Source organism: Homo sapiens, chromosome 7 (assembly GCF_000001405.40).
Source record: "Homo sapiens chromosome 7, GRCh38.p14 Primary Assembly".
In the NCBI taxonomy this organism is placed as follows: Eukaryota; Metazoa; Chordata; class Mammalia; order Primates; family Hominidae; genus Homo; species Homo sapiens.
Window position 1 is genome coordinate 65,299,821 of NC_000007.14, and position 16,546 is coordinate 65,316,366.

Here is a 16,546-nt window from a genome sequence, read left to right on the forward strand (position 1 = left end):
AGATTATCCTTGGCAAAAAATATGTCAACAAGAGGATAAATGAGGAGTTCATATAGATAGCAGGAGTTTAAGAAGTGGTAAATTTAGTTGACTGAGAAGCTTTTATGGAGAGAACAGAGACCTCAAATAAATGTATGTGTCCATATATAGTCTAAATATCAGTTTCAATTAAGTAAACTTTTGACTATAGGGTTCTTAAAATATTTTTGCCGGGTTTTAGCTGCATAAATAGCAAACATTTCTGTTTCTTGGCTATTTTATTCTGAAATTTACACTACTAATAAATAAGTTTTGGAGGTGGGGCATATTTCTTTACTAGAGGTGTAGGATAGTCGTTATTTAAAACTGTTTGCCTTTGAATTTTTTTTTTTTTTTTTTTTTTTTTGAGACAGAGTCTCGCTGTCACCCAGGCTGGAGTGCCGTGGCACAGTCTCGGCTCACTGCAAGCTCCGCCTCCCGGGTTCATGCCATTCTCCTGCCTCAGCCTCCTGAGTAGAAGGGACTACAGGTGCCCGCCAATATGCCCGGCTAATTTTTTGTATTTTAGTAAAGACAGGGTTTCACCGTGTTAGCCAGGATGGTCTCGATCTCCTGACCTCGTGATCCGCCCGCCTCAGCCTCCCAAAGTGCTGGGACTACAGGTGTGAGCCACTGCGCCTGGCCCGAAATGTTTTAATTATTTTCTCTTTGGATATATATCTTATTTAGCTTAGGAGAGAAGTCTATACAAACAATTTTTTTAATCACATTCTTAACATATATCAAAATTTTAAATCAAAGGGATACCTTAATAAATGTCTCAGAACTACACAAATAAACACACGTGAGACCACAACCAAGAAGTCCTTTATAGCTGTAATTAAGGTCTCCAAAAAAGAAGCAAAAGCTATAGCCCTTCTAAGATCCACATCTCTCTGATTGACAGCTTAAAGAACATTCGGCTAGCTGCAAATGGGGTACAACCCACATCTGTAGGCCATATATTTTAGGGTCCCGGCTTCTCAGCTGACCATCTACACACAAAGGCTAAATGGAATATTAAAAGATACAGTTGGTAAAACAAGAAAATAAAAGCTGTTCATTGGTATGGAAAAGCTTACAAATGTAATAAACCTGACTTGGAAGTTAAAATAATTAATGTAGAGTAGTTAACTGAGATAACAGTCATGATAAGATTATGCCAATAATTGAACTGGATGAATTAATAGTTTAGTAGGATCATCAACATCTTAATCCTACAGCAAATAAAATTTACATCTTTCTATTTACTCTTTGCATAACTACTCACTTGCCCTCCATTACTTAATTACTAAAACCTAATTCTCAGCGAGGCTTTCCTGGGACCACCTAAGCTTCAGTCCTTAACCACACTTGCATCAGCCTTCCCTCTTCTCCTTATCTTGCCTGGTGCAAACCACAGTGGTGCTCTGCTTGTCTGTTTCTTTGTATGTGTTTGCATTAAGACAGCTGCCTTCATGTCAATTCTAACCAGTTACAGCTATGAGATTTTTTTCACAGCATATAAAATGGTTATTTTCTCATTTAAAATCTTGCACATGTTGACCACAGTATCGTCACTCTTTTGAACTAAATGTTTCTAAAAATACCTTAGATATAAAACTTTAGAACACAGCCAAGAAGTAAAATTTTTTGCAACAGAAATATTAAACTATAATGGTATTTTGAGTATAAAATCTTTAGATAATGTTTTAAAGAGTCATTGCTTTCAAAGTATATTTGAAAAATAAAATTTTTTAAAAATTAGCTTAAGCAATAGATCTTTTTTGGAGACAGAGTTTCACTCTGTCTGGCTGGCTGCCTGGCTGGGTGCAATGGTACAGTCTCAGCTCACTGCCACCTCCACCTCCCAGACTCAATCCATCCTCCCGCACTCAAGCAATACTCTCACCTCAGCCTTCCAAGTAGCTGGGGCCACAGGTACACACCATCACACCCAACTAACATTTGTATTTTTTCTAGAGATGGGGTTTCACCATGTTGCCCAGACTAATCTCAAATTCCTGGGTTCAAGCAGTCCACCCACCTCAGCCTCTTAAAGTGCTGGGATTACAGGCATGAGCCACCACACCTGGCCCTAGACTTTTTTTTTTTTTTTTTTGAGATGGAGTTTCACTCTTGTTGCCCAGGCTGGAGTGCAATGGCGCGATCTCAGCTCACCACAACCTCCGCCTCCCGGGTTCAAGCAATTCTCCTTCCTCAGCCTCCCAAGTAGCTGGGATTACAGGTGTGCGCCACCATGCCTGGCTAATTTTGTATTTTTAGTAGAGACGGTTTTCTCCATGTTGGTCAGGCTGGTCTCGAACTCTCGACCTCAGGTGATCCACCCACCTTGGCCTCCCAAAGTGCTGGGATTACAGGCGTTAGCCACCGTACCTGGCCAGCCCTAGACTTTTAAATGAGAAAATACAAGGACTTAAAGGGGATATATTGTAACATAATAGAAAAAACACACAGAAAGTAAGCAAAAACAACAGAATCACATTTCGATGGTGCTATAATCTAATTTGTTACTTGACATGTTTCACAACTTGCTTTGTGTATCATCACTGCATAATGGCATCTTTGTTAAGGGCTTCCATCCATTCCAACCAGATGTTATTAAACCATGCTCCCTTGTTGCATTCTTGGATAAAAACACCTTCATTCTCATGTGGAAATGATTCCTGACAGTATGCCCTGAGAAATACCCGAAAGAAAGGCAGTTAGTTTTTGTGCTCAGGCTTCTGAGATTTGGCCTAAGTGTCTCTAGTGAGATACATTAGGGGAGGTAAGAACGTGTGGTTGCCTGTGAGTCTCGACCAGTGCTTTTCAGATGGGTGTCTGGGCTGGGGGTAGACTCCGGGTGTCTCATGGAAGGGAGGCTCTGTTCTCCTGCACAGAGGCTGTCACACTGAGAATTGTCCTATGATTCTGTTTCTCTCCCAGGGTCAGTGGAGACTGAGAACCATCAACTTAATATAATCAAAAAGTCAGAATCTTGTTTAGAGTTTAGGTATGGCAAAATTTAGGGTGGCCACAGGGGAGCACAGATTACAGTTTCCCTGAATACACACTCCTATTAGTGTGACAGGCCAATTTTTTTCTAGCAGTCACACAGACAGGCCTCCATAGCACTCAAGTTATACAGGCAAACTTTCACAGCATCTGCCTTAACATTAAGTTAGTACTTAACCCTAGAAACATCAATCCCTGGACACCAAAGCCAGAAATGAAATATATGTTTGGTAAGAGTCTTGCGCAAGTTTCTCCTAAAACCTGGGGCAAGTCAAGATAATGAAGATAGCCCCACATTCCTTGTACCAGGACCCATCTTGGGTCAAATAAATTTATTGGGCATCTGAGGCAACTCTCCAGACCCAAACCATAGGTAATATAAGATAGAACTAATCACTCCTCTACCAGGGCCCTCACAGATTAAGTAGAGCAAAAATAGGGGACATTTCTTAATCACCCTAGTACCAGGGCCCTCGTAGATTAAGTAGATTTAGGGTACATTTCTGGTCTCTGAGCTTTTAGTTAAAATTATTTACCTGTAGACATAGGTCAGTATGATACTGCACATAAGCATACAGTTTGAAACATATATAAGCAATGGAAAAATGTTTGTTAGTCTTGAGTTGGTCTGGGGAATTATCTTTGACCTCCTCCCTGTACTTGTTTACAGAAATAAACTCTCTTCTTTCCCAGTTTGTCTGCATCTTGTTATTGGGCCACAAGAACACACAGCCAGACCCAGTTTGGTCCAGGAACAACATCTGGCAAGCTAGCCAAGAGTCACTGAAATGGTGCTGCACTCAGTGGCCCGTGATTGTGGCGAGATGGTCATTTGGAGACTCCCAGAAGCTGCTGGATAAGATTGTCCTGGGGACTCTCCCAGGGGCTATTCCATGTGCAAAAACCACATGTCCCTCTCACCACTGGGGAAGAATGGTGATCAGGCAGGAGTGGATGCACTCAAAGGGTGAGTAAAACTGGATCATATGCAGGAAGCCTGTTATTTTCTTATCTGGGCTTATTAAGCCGTTTGGTCTGATACCGTCAGGAAAATAGTAGGGCTCATTTTTATACTCAGTTGCTATTTGGTTAGGAGTAAACCTGAAGCTGATTTCAGATCTGTTTTACCCAAGTACGCTTCCTTTTGTGTTTGTCTGAAACTGTCTCCATGTTCATGTCTGTGGTTTTGTCAGACTTAAAATGGAAAGTGCTGCTTTCCTTCCCTCAGGGAGCCCTCTGGGAAAAATGCTGTCAGATTGGAAATAGTACGAGGTTACCCCCATGACTAAGAGGAAAATGGTTTACTATTGTAATATGGTTTGGCTAATGTATGCTTTAGGATCCAAAAAATGGTGGCCAATTTTGGGGTCTTTAAGCTATTATATCTTTCAGTTACAGCTGTTTTGTCAATGTTTGAGGAAATGGGAGGAAGCGTTTAAAAATTCCCCTACATTCAGGCACTTATGTTGCTACATAACCAAGAGGTTAAAGGGAGTGAGTTAATGTTGCATTACCCAGACAAAGTGTCACCTGACCCTGAGGGAGAGGAAGAAAGAAAAAGAGCTAGAGTCAGCAATTGCTATACATGCCTAATCCAGTAAAAGCTAGTGTCCCACCACCTAGTCAAGAGAGTGAAGAGTCACCACCCCCAAAGTTCAAAGAGGCTACAGACACAGTCTCTCCCTCCTGAACTGGGCAAGGCACTAATTTTGGCTGAGGAGCTACCAAGCCTGGGGCAGGACAATTTCCCTTCTGACAATATCCCACGGGAGTTAATCAGCAAGAGCCTCTGGCTGGATATTACTGAGCATGAAGCCCTTTTCCCACATCTGATTTACTGAATTGGAAAAGTTCCAGTCCTTCCTACAGGGAAGAACCCCAGAAGATGACTGAACAGTTACCACTATTTTTGCCACCCATTGCCCTACCTGGGCTGATGTGCAAGCCCTCCTAAATATTATGCTTACTGCAGATGAGAGAAGGCTAGTATTAGACAAAGGAGAAAAAAAAGCACTTTCATGATGAAAGCCCTGATGATACCCTAGACCCTGATGAGCTGATTCCATGCAGTGACCCAAATTTGGACCCAAATGAGGCCATTGTAGCTGGAGATAATTGTCTGTAGCATTGTAAAAGGTGTATTCTAAAGGACATTAGGTAGGGGTGCTGAGACCTAAAAGTCTGAACAAAGTGCAGGAACTTCAGCAGAAACCTAATGAGGACCCCTCAGAATTTATGGAACAGATCTGTCAAATGTATAGAAAGTATACAGACTTAGATCCACAGGACCCCAAAAATGTCAGAATGGTAAACATGACTCTTACAAGGCAAAGTGCCCCCAGACATCAGAAAGAAGTTCCAAATGTGGAAGGGGCTATGGGAATGAATGCTTCTCAGTTAATTGACATTGCATTCAATGTCTACAATAGCAGGGAATCCAAGGAAACTAAGGCTCTATGGCAGGCAGCAATACTTAGAGCCACTGTGGTAGGAAACCCGAAGAAAAAGGGACCCCTGAGGCAGAAGGAAAATATAGGAAAGGATCAATGCACTTACTGTCAGGAGACAGGGCATTGAAAGAAAGACTGCCCCAAGTTGATTAAGAAGGAGCTTAGGTCACTTATGGCTGTTAAGCCTGAAAACGAATCCAAAGAGGACTGAGGGGCCCAAGACTCCTGATGGCTCCAACCCTGTCTGACGTTAAGATTTTCCCTCAGGAGCCTTGGGTAAATTCGACAGTGGGGAAATGAAAATTGGACTTCTAAATCCATATGGGTGCTGCTTACTCGTCAATTAATATCCCAATTACTGAACCTTTTTTGAGACTGAGTTGCTCTATCGCCCAGGCTGGAGTGCAGTGGCATGATCTCAGCTCACTGCAACCTCTGCCTCCTGGGTTCAAGCAATTCTGCCTCAGCCTCCCAAGTAGGTGGGAATACAGGCATGCCTCACCATGCCCAACTAATTTTTGTATTTTTAGTAGAGACAGGGTTTCACCATGTTGGCCAGTCTGGTCTCGAACTCCTGACCTCAAGTGATCTGCCCATCTTGGCCTCCCAAAGTGCTGGGATTACAGGCGTGAGCCACAACACCCGGCCTTACTGAACTTTTTGACACCTCTGTCAATATAGTTGGGGTGAGCGGAAAGCTGAAATCAGAATAGTTCTTTCACCCTCTATCCTGGAAGGTGGGAAATGGCTTAATAACTCATTGGTTTCTTTTTTCCTTTTGTTTTTTGAGACAGGGTCTTGCTCTGTCACCCAGGCTGAAGTGCAGTGGTGCGATCTTGGCTCACTGCATCCTCCATCTCCCAGGTTCAAGCAATTCTCTGCCTGAGCCTCCCGAGTAGCTGGGATTACAGGCACCTGCCACCGCGCCCAGCTAATTTTTTTGTATTTTTAGTAGAGGCAGGGTTTCACCATCTTGGCCAGGCTGGTCTTGAACTCCTGACCTCGTGATCCACCCGCCTCGGCCTCCCAAAGTGCTGGGATTACTGGTGTGAGCCAAGGTGCCCGGCCTCATCAGTTTCCATATGTGCTGGACTGCTCGATGTCTCTGCTTGGTAGAGACCTCTTATGTAAGTTACAGGCATGAGTTGTCTTTGACCCAGAGATGCGCCAGATGTGCCTCCAGGTACCCTCAGAACACAGATTGTGGCGACAGGCCCTCCTGATGAAATCGGAGACTTCACACCTTAAGGTAGAGATGATTCCACAGGAAGTCCTCAACAAGGTAAAGCCGAAGTATCAGCATCCAACCAACCAAGGCGGACAATTAATGTGAATCCAGTAGAAATCAAGCTGAAGGAAGGGACCCAACCTGTTCGAAAGGAACAATACGCCTTAAAGAAAGAGGCCCTAGAAGGCATCCAGCTGGTACATTCTGATTCTTGTGGCATGTCTTAATAAGACTTTGTCAGTCTCCATAGAACATGCCCATTCTTCCAGTAAAGAAATCTCATCCATGCAAGTACAAATTCATGCAAGATATAAGGGTGATCAGTGATACTGTAGAAGACACCCACCCCACTGGGGCCAATCAATACACTATTTTTATCTTCCTGTCCAGAGACCATGAATGGTTTAGAGTATTAGATTTGAAGGATGCTTTCTTTTGCATACCAGCGAATGCAGAAAGCCAATTATTGTTTGAGTGGACAGACCCTGAAACAGCCACACAATTTCAATATTGTTGGACAGTGCTTCCTCAAGGGTTTAAAAATTCCCCAACTGTATTTGGGGAAGCACTGGCTCAGAACTTAAGAGACTTACAATTGGAAAATGGGGTACTGCTACGGTATGCGGATGATTTGCTAATCTCCAGCTCCTTGAAGCAAGAATGTCAGGATAACACTGTAAAAACTAAACCATTTGGCAGCCTGTGGGTACAAGGTCTTAAGCAAAAGGGCACAGGGGTACAGATATGCAAACAAACTATGGGATACCTAAGATTTCTGTTACAGAGAAACCAGAGCCCTGACGGTGGAGAGGCAAAATGCAGTTGCCTCTATCATGACACCCACAACCAGAAAGCAGCTAAGGGGCTTCCTGGGAAGGGCAGGGTTCTGCAGAATCTGGATTTCCAATTATGGCTGAAGGTAAAGCTGCTATATGAAGTGATAAAAGGGGCCAACCACAACCCCTTTAAATGAGAGCTGTAACACCAGAATGCGTTTAAACAATTAAAGCTTAAGATGACATCTACCCCATCTCTGAGGCTGCCAAATCCTCATAAACCCTTGCAACTTTACGTGCATGAAAGACTGGGTCTGGCACTCGGGATCCTAACACAAAAACTAAAAGAAATATTGCAACCAGTGGCTTATTTCTCAAAAGGATTGATACAGTGGCAATGGGCTGGCCCCCTTGTCTCAAAGCAGTAGCTGCCGCCTGCTTGTTGCTCAAGGGAGCTGAGAAGCTGACTTTGGGTCAGCCCATCGTGATTTATGTGCCCCATCAAGCCTGGTGTTATTTGAGCAGAAGGGTGGCTACTGGCTGACGGTTGTCAGATTAGGCTGATATCGGGCCATCCTGCTTGATAATCCCGCAGTAAAACTGCAGACCACTGGAGCCTCAAACCCTGCCATTTTGCTGCCACCTACTGGGGAACAAAGGAACTAGTACACAACTGCCTAGAGGTTATAATCAAGTATTTTCTGGTCTCCCAGATCTAAAGGATGCAGCCCTCCCCTATGTAGACTGGTTGCTGTTCATGGATGGAAGCAGCTTAGTCACCAACAAAGGAGAAATGCTGCCTATGCTGTAGTAACTCTCTTGGAGGTAATAGAGGCAAGAACACTCCCGACAGGGACTTCTGCGGAAAAGGCTGAGTTAGTCGCTTTTACCAGAGCCTTGCAACTGTCCCAAGGTGAGAGCACCAATATCTACACTGATTCCAAATATTCCTTCATGATAGTTCATGCACACAGAGCTATTTGGAAGGAAAGGGGACTGCTAAAAGCTGATAATACTGAAATTTAATATGCTAAGCAAGTGTTGGAGCTGTTGGAAGCAGTAACAGCGTCAAGAAAAATAGCTGCTATGCATTGTCCAGGCCATAAGAGCAGCGATTTCAAACCAGCTAGGGGGAACACCTTCACCTACTGCACAGCCAGGCATCTAGCCAGCACCAGTGCCAAGGTCCAGGCACCTTTGATTTCCCAAGTAGATTTGGCAGCTTTCAAACCCCAGTGTAGTTTGAGGATGAAAAGATTGCCAAGGACAAAGGGTTTATTTAAGACAAGAAAGGCTGGAAAGTAAATAACAAGGGCCTGGTTTGGGTGCCAGCACACCTTCCTTCAACCCAATGCTAAAATATATTCATGATAGCATGCATTTTGGATGAGATGCCTCGTTAACTTTTGTGCAAAAATATAGGAAGGAAAAGGCTCACTTAAGAAGTATAATACAACATTGCTACCTTTGCGCTGAAAATGAGACCAATAACTATAGCAAAGGACAACCCAGACAACAGGCGAGAGGGAAGCATCTACTAGAAAATTGGCAGATTGACTTTGCTCAAATGCCACTTGCCCCTGGAAGGTACAAATACCTCTTAGTTGTAGTGGACACTCTCAGGCTGGGTGGAAGCCTACCCATATCATACCGAGTGGCCAACAGAGGTAGTTAAAGTGCAGCTAAAGAACATCATACCCCGATATGGGCTCCCTGACATTATCCATAGTGACAATGGGCCTTCATTTACCTCGGAAATAACCCAACAAGTAAGCAAAACAGTAGGAATAAAATGGAAGCTGCACTCGGCATGGAAGCCTCAATCCTCTGGACAGACTGAAAGAATGCATCATACTTTAAAGACAATTCTTGCTAAGCTATGTCAGGAAGCTCAGTTAAAATGGATTCAGGTACTTGGGATTGCACTACTCTGGGTAAGAATGGCCCCCAGAAATGGGATTAAGTTAAGTTCTTATGAAATTATTTTCGGGACGCCCTTTGTAGCCTTGTCCTGGGTTGCTAGAGTGTCACTGGATACAGAATTAGCTATTAAAACTTATGTCACTCAGGACGAACTCTTAATGATTTGCATAAGTTTGCTTCTTAGAGGAATGACACAGATTTTGCAGGAGACCGCCACCCATTTCAGCCTGGTGATCAAGTGCTGCTGAAGGAATGGAGGGAAGCTGATCCTGCCCAACAACTACAGGAAAAATGGAAAGGGCCCTACGATGTGCTGTTGACTACTGACTTGGCACTGAAGCTGACAGGCATCAAACCCTGGGTTCATCATATGTGAGTGAAGAAATTCCAGTCACCTGGGGTATCCACAATGGAAACACCTGCAACCACTCAATGGGAAGTGGAGCCCCTAGAGGACTTAAAGTTTCTATTCAGAAAATGATACAGATTTCTTTTATGCTGTGCTTCCTTTTATACCTCTTACTGTTTCGTTACACACTTGTAACCTCTGTCTACAATGGGCGCAGGACTATGCAGACAGCCTCCAGCAGGATTCCTGCTGGGTCTGTGGCCTGTTACTGCTTTCTAGTACCACAGGTCTGCCTTGGTGGGTCTCACCTGTGCAAGGAAAAGATTGGGTGTACCTACAAACTTTTCCAGGAAATTCGAAAACTGGATTGGGTTGCAAATGACTGGGATAACTAAAGCAAATGTGTCAGAATGGCCCATAAATGAGACTTTAAGTGACCCAGGACACAAAAAGCCATTCTCTTTAATAGAACAAGGGACAAAGTTATAGCATTAGCTACTCCTTTATTAGATTCAAAAGTGCCCATCCAAACCTTCAAGCCCCAAAATGTTTGATACAAGAATGGCTTTCTTCAAATCTGGGATGGGTGCATTTGGTTAACTGCTTCTACTGGACATTTAAGGCAAATAGCTTCCTTGTTCTGGGAGCAATGAAAACATTTCCTTGACCATTGGCCTAATGCAACTCAGATTATAGGATGGATTCCTTCTCAGTGGTACCAATATATTATAGTACTCCAGCAGAGGGATGTGTTCACCATAGATTGGTCTTAATGGCCTGGCCTAAATTGGTATCCTCCCAACAGGACTTTGCAGCACCAACCTGTGGCCGCGGCTTCCCTTGGGCTGGTAGGGATGTTGCACTCTAGGCTTCCCATAGGCATAAGGTTGTTAGGTAAAAACCATACAAAATCTGCCCAATCTTCCACATATGATTAACAGATGGACCAGGTCAGTCTTTCACTGGTACAACCATCAATCTGCAATATTCATGCTCTTAATAGGATTAGAAAATGTTATATGGCACATAGAGGCATTAGCCAACTTTACTCAGTGGGCTCTAAGTGACAGCTTCCAAAGCATCTCTCTTATAAATACTGAAATGTATCATATGTGAAAGGCTATTTTGCAAAATCGAATGGGCTTAGACATTCTTACTGCAGCCCAAGGGGGATCTCATGCCCTCATCAAAACTGAATGCTGTGTGTATATTCCGAATAATTCTAGGAACATCTTTCTAGTACTAAAGGGTATACGTTAGCAAATTATAGCCATTTCCAGCCCAGTTATCACGAAATGATTGTCTCGCATCATGGCTCAGCACAGAATCTTCTTGCTGGCAGGAAGTCCTGGCATTCTTTGCTATTTTCCTAGGCTTAAGTATATCTCTGTGCTGTGTAATGTATTGCTGCTATGCGCTGTGTGCTGTTTCACAACATTCCCAAAACTCATGCCATTATGTTTCAGCAGGTGCTGCTGCTAAAAGCCTGAGGCCAATAGTATTTCCAAGAGCAAATGAACCTCTGCCACTCCAATCCCATGTTCACTGCCCCCTAACAGTGACCCCCCTCAGCAGGAAGTAGCCAGAATGATCATGACGTCCCACATCCCTGCAGTCCCTCCAGCTTAGGCATGATAGAAATCATGCGCAAATTGACAGTGGGGATTGTGGCAGGCCAATTCTTCCTAACAGTCACACAGACAGGCCTCCATAGCACTCCAGTTATACATTCAAACTACCACAGCATCTGCCTTAACATTAAGGTAGCAGTTAAACCTGGGGAAATTGATGCCCCAACAGCAAAGCCAGAAATGAAACATATGTTTGGTAAGAATCTTGCCCAGGCTTCTGAAACTTGAGGCAAGTCAAGATAATAAAGAAAGAAAGCCCTACATTCCTCGTACCAAGACCCATCTTGGGTCAGATAAATTTACTGGGGGTCTGAAGCAACTCTCCAGACCCAAACCATAGGTAAGACAGGATGGAAGTAATCACACTGGTACCGGGGCCCTCACAAATTAAGTAGATTTAGGGGACATTTATGGGCTCTGATCTTTTAGTTAAAACAAAATTAATCCCCCATAAACTTAGGCGAGTATAATATTACACGTAGGCATATAGTTTGAAATATATATAAGCACTGGAAGAACTTTAGAATCTTGAGTTGGTCTGGTGAATTATCTCTGACTTTCTCCCTGTACCCAGTTACAGAAAAAAACTCTCTTCTTTTCCAGTTTGCCTGCATCTTGTTATTGGGTTGCAAGAACATGCAGCTGGACACAGTTCTATCTGGGAACATTAGCCAAAGTTACATATGGCTTTGCAAAGGGAAATAGCAAAAATAGTTTATAAGTTGTTTTCTAAGCATTACATTAAAATAACATAAGCAGCCAGGCGTGGTGGCTCATGCCTGTAATCCCAGCACTTTGGGAGGCCAAGGCGGCCGGATCACCTGAGGTCAGGAGTTCGAGACCAGCCAGGCCAACATGGTGAAACCCCATCTCTACTGAAAATACAAAAATTACCCGGGCGTGGTGGCAGGCACCTGTAATCCCAGCTACTCGGGAGGCTGAGGCAGGAGCATCGCTTGAACCCGGGAGGCAGAGGTTGCAGTCAGCTGAGATCACGCCATTGCACTCCAACCTGGGGGACAAGAGTGAGACTTAGTCTCAAAAAAAAAAATTACAAAAAATAAAATAACATAAGCTACTGGCTAAGCGCAATGGCTCACGCCTGTAATTCCAGCACTTTGGGAGGCCTAGATGGGTGGATCACTTGAGGTCAGGAGTTCAAGACCAGCCTGAGCAACATGGTGAAACCCCGTATCTACTAAAAAATACAAAAATTAGCTGAGCAAGGTGGCAGGCGCCTGTAATCCCATCTACTCGGGAGACTGAGGCTGGAGAATCTCTTGAACCCAGGAGGCAGAGGTTGTAGTGAGCCGAGATTGCACTACTGCACTCCAGCCTGGGTGACAGAGCGAGACTCCGTCTCAAAAAACTAAAAATAAATAAATAAATAAAATAACATAAACTATTGATTGGCCGTGCATTGCACTTTGTGTCACCAATTTCAGGAACACGAAGATGAGTGAGATACTAGTTGGGAAGAAAATATCTAAACAATTGCTTCCAGGCATGGGTGGGGTGGGATGACTTAAGTTTCATATTCATGTCTCTCTGAGTGTGATTGATTTTGCATATGTCACATAGACAGCTCTGAGCTATTTCTCTTGTCTCACAACACAGAATAAATCAATTCTGAGGACAGACCCCTCTTTTCTCCCAGCTGCCACCATGTTATTTTCACCCACTCACGCACATGTGCTCTAGCTCTAGGTAACGACAGGGCCCTGCTTCTCCCAGGACAAACGTACAAACTCAGGAATTGCACCCACAGTGCTTTTGCTCTGTGGGAACCTAGAGGTTTCCACCAAAAACCCAAACATATGCCTAGAGAACTCCTGGAATATCCTTGCCCCAACACCCTGAATCAGTGGCAGTAATGTGGTCCCTTTATGCACCTAGGCTTCTGGACCACTTGATTATACTCTCATCCTTATGGAAACAGAAATAAGTCAGAGCATAATCCTGCCTAGGCCAGTATTTGTAGCACAAACCAGTCCTTCCAGCAACTCTTCATTGTCCCTCACACGTCTGTCCTAAATAGCATTTTTTTCTCTTCTGACATTTTATTTTCCACAGACTTTATTTCAAGTGCATACAGTGTGGCCGAGGCTACCCCTCAGGTGCCTGAGTCCAGACTTACTGGAATTCAAATACCCATGAGTTTAAGACCAACTTCCCTGGACTTGGCTGTTGAAAGCATAAGTACAAATTAGAAATATAAGACTTAATTTTCCAACTTGAAAGTAAGAGTAGAAAATTTGCTCTCCTTCCTTAAAGCATTTAATTCAGAAAACTTTTATATTTAATTTTTTCTCTGCCTCTTTGACATATGTGTTAATATTTTTAATGGCTGAACAGTCCTTTTGTTATTTTTTTCTAGGAAAAGTCTTTCTCTAGGACCTGGAAATGATTGCTCGGAAATGTAAACAGCAAAAAAGTTAGAGCCCTATCGCACAGCTTGCTCCAAGTTTCAAAATTACCTTCTGTCCCTCCTGGACTTGGGACCATTATTTTTCCTTCAGATATGCCAGTCAGCAACCACAGATGGCCTCCCCAATTACCAGGTGAATTTAGGATAAACTGTATATGACACATGGTGCTGTGAAGTGTCCTACTTGAGGACTAATTATGTCTTTCAGTCTGTTATGAGGTTACCTGTAATTTAAATCAGATTCTGGTCTAACTGTGTAATAATAATTTGCTTTCTATTCTACTTTGGCGAGTGTTTGGGGGAGTTGGAGACAATTAAGTTTTCAGTTACATTTTATGAACACTGTCCAGAATTGCCAGACACACTATAAACATATGAGGTGCCCACCAGGCTTCACACTAGAGGGGTCCTTTCCACTCAGTAACTCACAGTTGTGCAGCAACATGCATGCTGCCCCCAAAATCTGCAGGTAGAGTGGTGTCTCTGCCTATTTGGGATCCACAGTCATGTCAGAGCAGTTAGAGCAGGTTTCCACATAAATAACTTCAGAGGACAGCAGTCAGCCAGTCTACCTCTTTTTATGCCCTTGGCATTCTTTATACCTGAAACTGGTTCAGAGACCATGGGGCCTCGAAACCCATCCAGGCTCACACATGTGCAATAAGTAGCTTTGAGAATCTTAATTCCCCTCATTTTCCTTCTGCCATAATGCTTAGGGAGGCACAGAGTTCACCGCTGCATCCTCACCCTGCTAAGACCCAAATTGGCATCTTCAAATTCTGTATATAGGTCCTAAAAAATGTAAGTTTCATCTGAGAAATGCAAGTAACTTTAATTATCAGGCCCATAGAGACATTAAAAGGAGATTATAATCATGTCCTGCTCCCCTCTTTGAGCTACGTATTTATTTATATATTTATATATTTATTTATTTATTTTTTTGAGATGGAGTCTCACTCTGTTGCCCAGGCTGCAGTGCAGTGGTGTGATCTTGGCTCACTGCAACTTCCGCCTCCTGGGTTCAAGTGATTTTCCTGTCTCAGCCTCCTGAGTAGTTGGGATTACAGGTGCGTGCCACCACGCCTGACTAATTTTTGTATTTTTAATAGAGACGGGGTTTCACCATGTTGGCCAGGCTGGTCTCAAACTGCTGACCTCAGGTGATCTGCCCACCTCAGTCTCCCAAAGTGCTGGGATTACAGGTGTGAGCCACTGCACCTGACCTATGTATTCATATCTTGAAACTGCTTGCTTTTGCTACAAATGACTATACATTAACTAATAATACCACACCTGAAATCGTAGCCTACACCCTATGTAAGCCAATCACTAATCAATATTATTTCTGTAAATCAATAAGATGTCCTGACAAATAACTTTGTGACAGCCCATGTCCCGTCCTCAATTTTTGCGTTTAAAAATCCACTTGTAACTGCTGCTAGTCAAAGTGCATATTCAGGGAAACTTGAATCTATGCTCCCAGGTTGCAATCCTCAAACTTGGCCCAAATAAACTCTCTACTTGTATTACTTTTGCCTCATCTTCTTCCTTAGAATGTGTTACAGGAGTCTCCATGAGGGAATCTCTCCTCTGCTTTTACTCCACTTGCTGTAACCCCCCAAAATGCAGAGACAGGTGGATCCCATCTAAAATCTGCACACCTGGAATTTACAAGATAGGGTCAGATTTTGGATTGAGGATGTACAGAAAACCCATGGGGCACATTTGTTTCATCATGAGAGAACAACGTAGAAATCTTAGTGCTCTTCTTTCAGGGTGAGGTCCTTCAAATTTTCCAGATAATGTTTAGTGACTTGCTATAGTTGTGTGATATGTTCCTGGTGTAAACAGAATCTGGTAGCAGAATCTGTAAGTTAAACAAGCACCTTAGCAGAAGGATGTTAGGGCCACACAATATCCAGAGCTATGACCACAATTAACCCACCTGTAAACTGTGTTTCTGTAGTAGAGTATTCTTGTTCTTTTTCTTACCCAAGAGTGAGCTGATCACAAACAAGTGATATCACACCTGGATCCAGGGTCTGCAGCTCCACCAGGGCAGGTTTATTCTTTATTCCGATCATGCAGAGTTAGCTTGAGTCTCTCCTGCCTGGATAACCACGGGGGCTTCAGTCCAGGCTCACTGGGGACCTTCTCACCAGCACCTGGGAGTCTTTGAGACATTTGGGGATGTGCTGTGCAGATTGGCACAGCTGTGTCAGGCTGACAGCAGGGTCTAATTCTGTTCCCATTTCAGAGGAAGGGGAATGAATCATCCAGGATTTTTTCCTCCCCTCACAGAAGGAATCTCCTTGGTTGGTACCCAGATGGGTGTTTCTCCAGTTTTCTGGGTAATGAACGAGGAGCTCTGGAGACAGATCGATAAATCAATTGCTTCCATTAAAAATGAGCATTAGAAAAAACAGATAAGGCAGTCGCTATCTCTACAATCCTGGCAGTTTCAGCCTAGAGCACATGGATAAATGGTTGAATTCAGAATTATGGGGTCAGTACAAAGAAGGGAGGTGTACAGGAACTTGGGCTTCCTTTGGGGCCAATTCCCTTACATTGTTCAGAGTTGTTATGTCACCAGCTGAAGGGCTATTGATGCACAGAACGGTTGTTATTGTTATCATTATTTCTATTGCTTTTACCTTGCTAAGAATACATGTTTAGCTTATAATTGTGCTAGAAAACCATAGGGGTTTTTGGTTAAATTAACATGTATGTATGTTATTATATGTTA

At 43.3% G+C, this 16,546-nt stretch overlaps 1 long non-coding RNA gene across 5 annotated transcripts in view; it reads left to right on the forward strand.

The window, feature by feature from the left end:
- LOC105375334 (uncharacterized) overlaps nt 1-16,546 on the forward strand; it is an 82,449-nt gene that overhangs the window by 30,447 nt on the left and 35,456 nt on the right. For 2 of the 5 annotated variants that reach the window (XR_001744938.2, XR_007060361.1), the window contains exons 2-4: nt 3,709-8,382; nt 9,577-9,764; nt 13,750-13,933. This is a non-coding gene — a long non-coding RNA (uncharacterized LOC105375334). Of the gene's footprint in view, nt 1-3,708; nt 9,765-13,749; nt 13,934-16,546 lie in introns of all 5 variants that reach the window. The other 3 variants (XR_927613.3, XR_001744935.2, XR_007060360.1) reach the window with 2 other exon arrangements.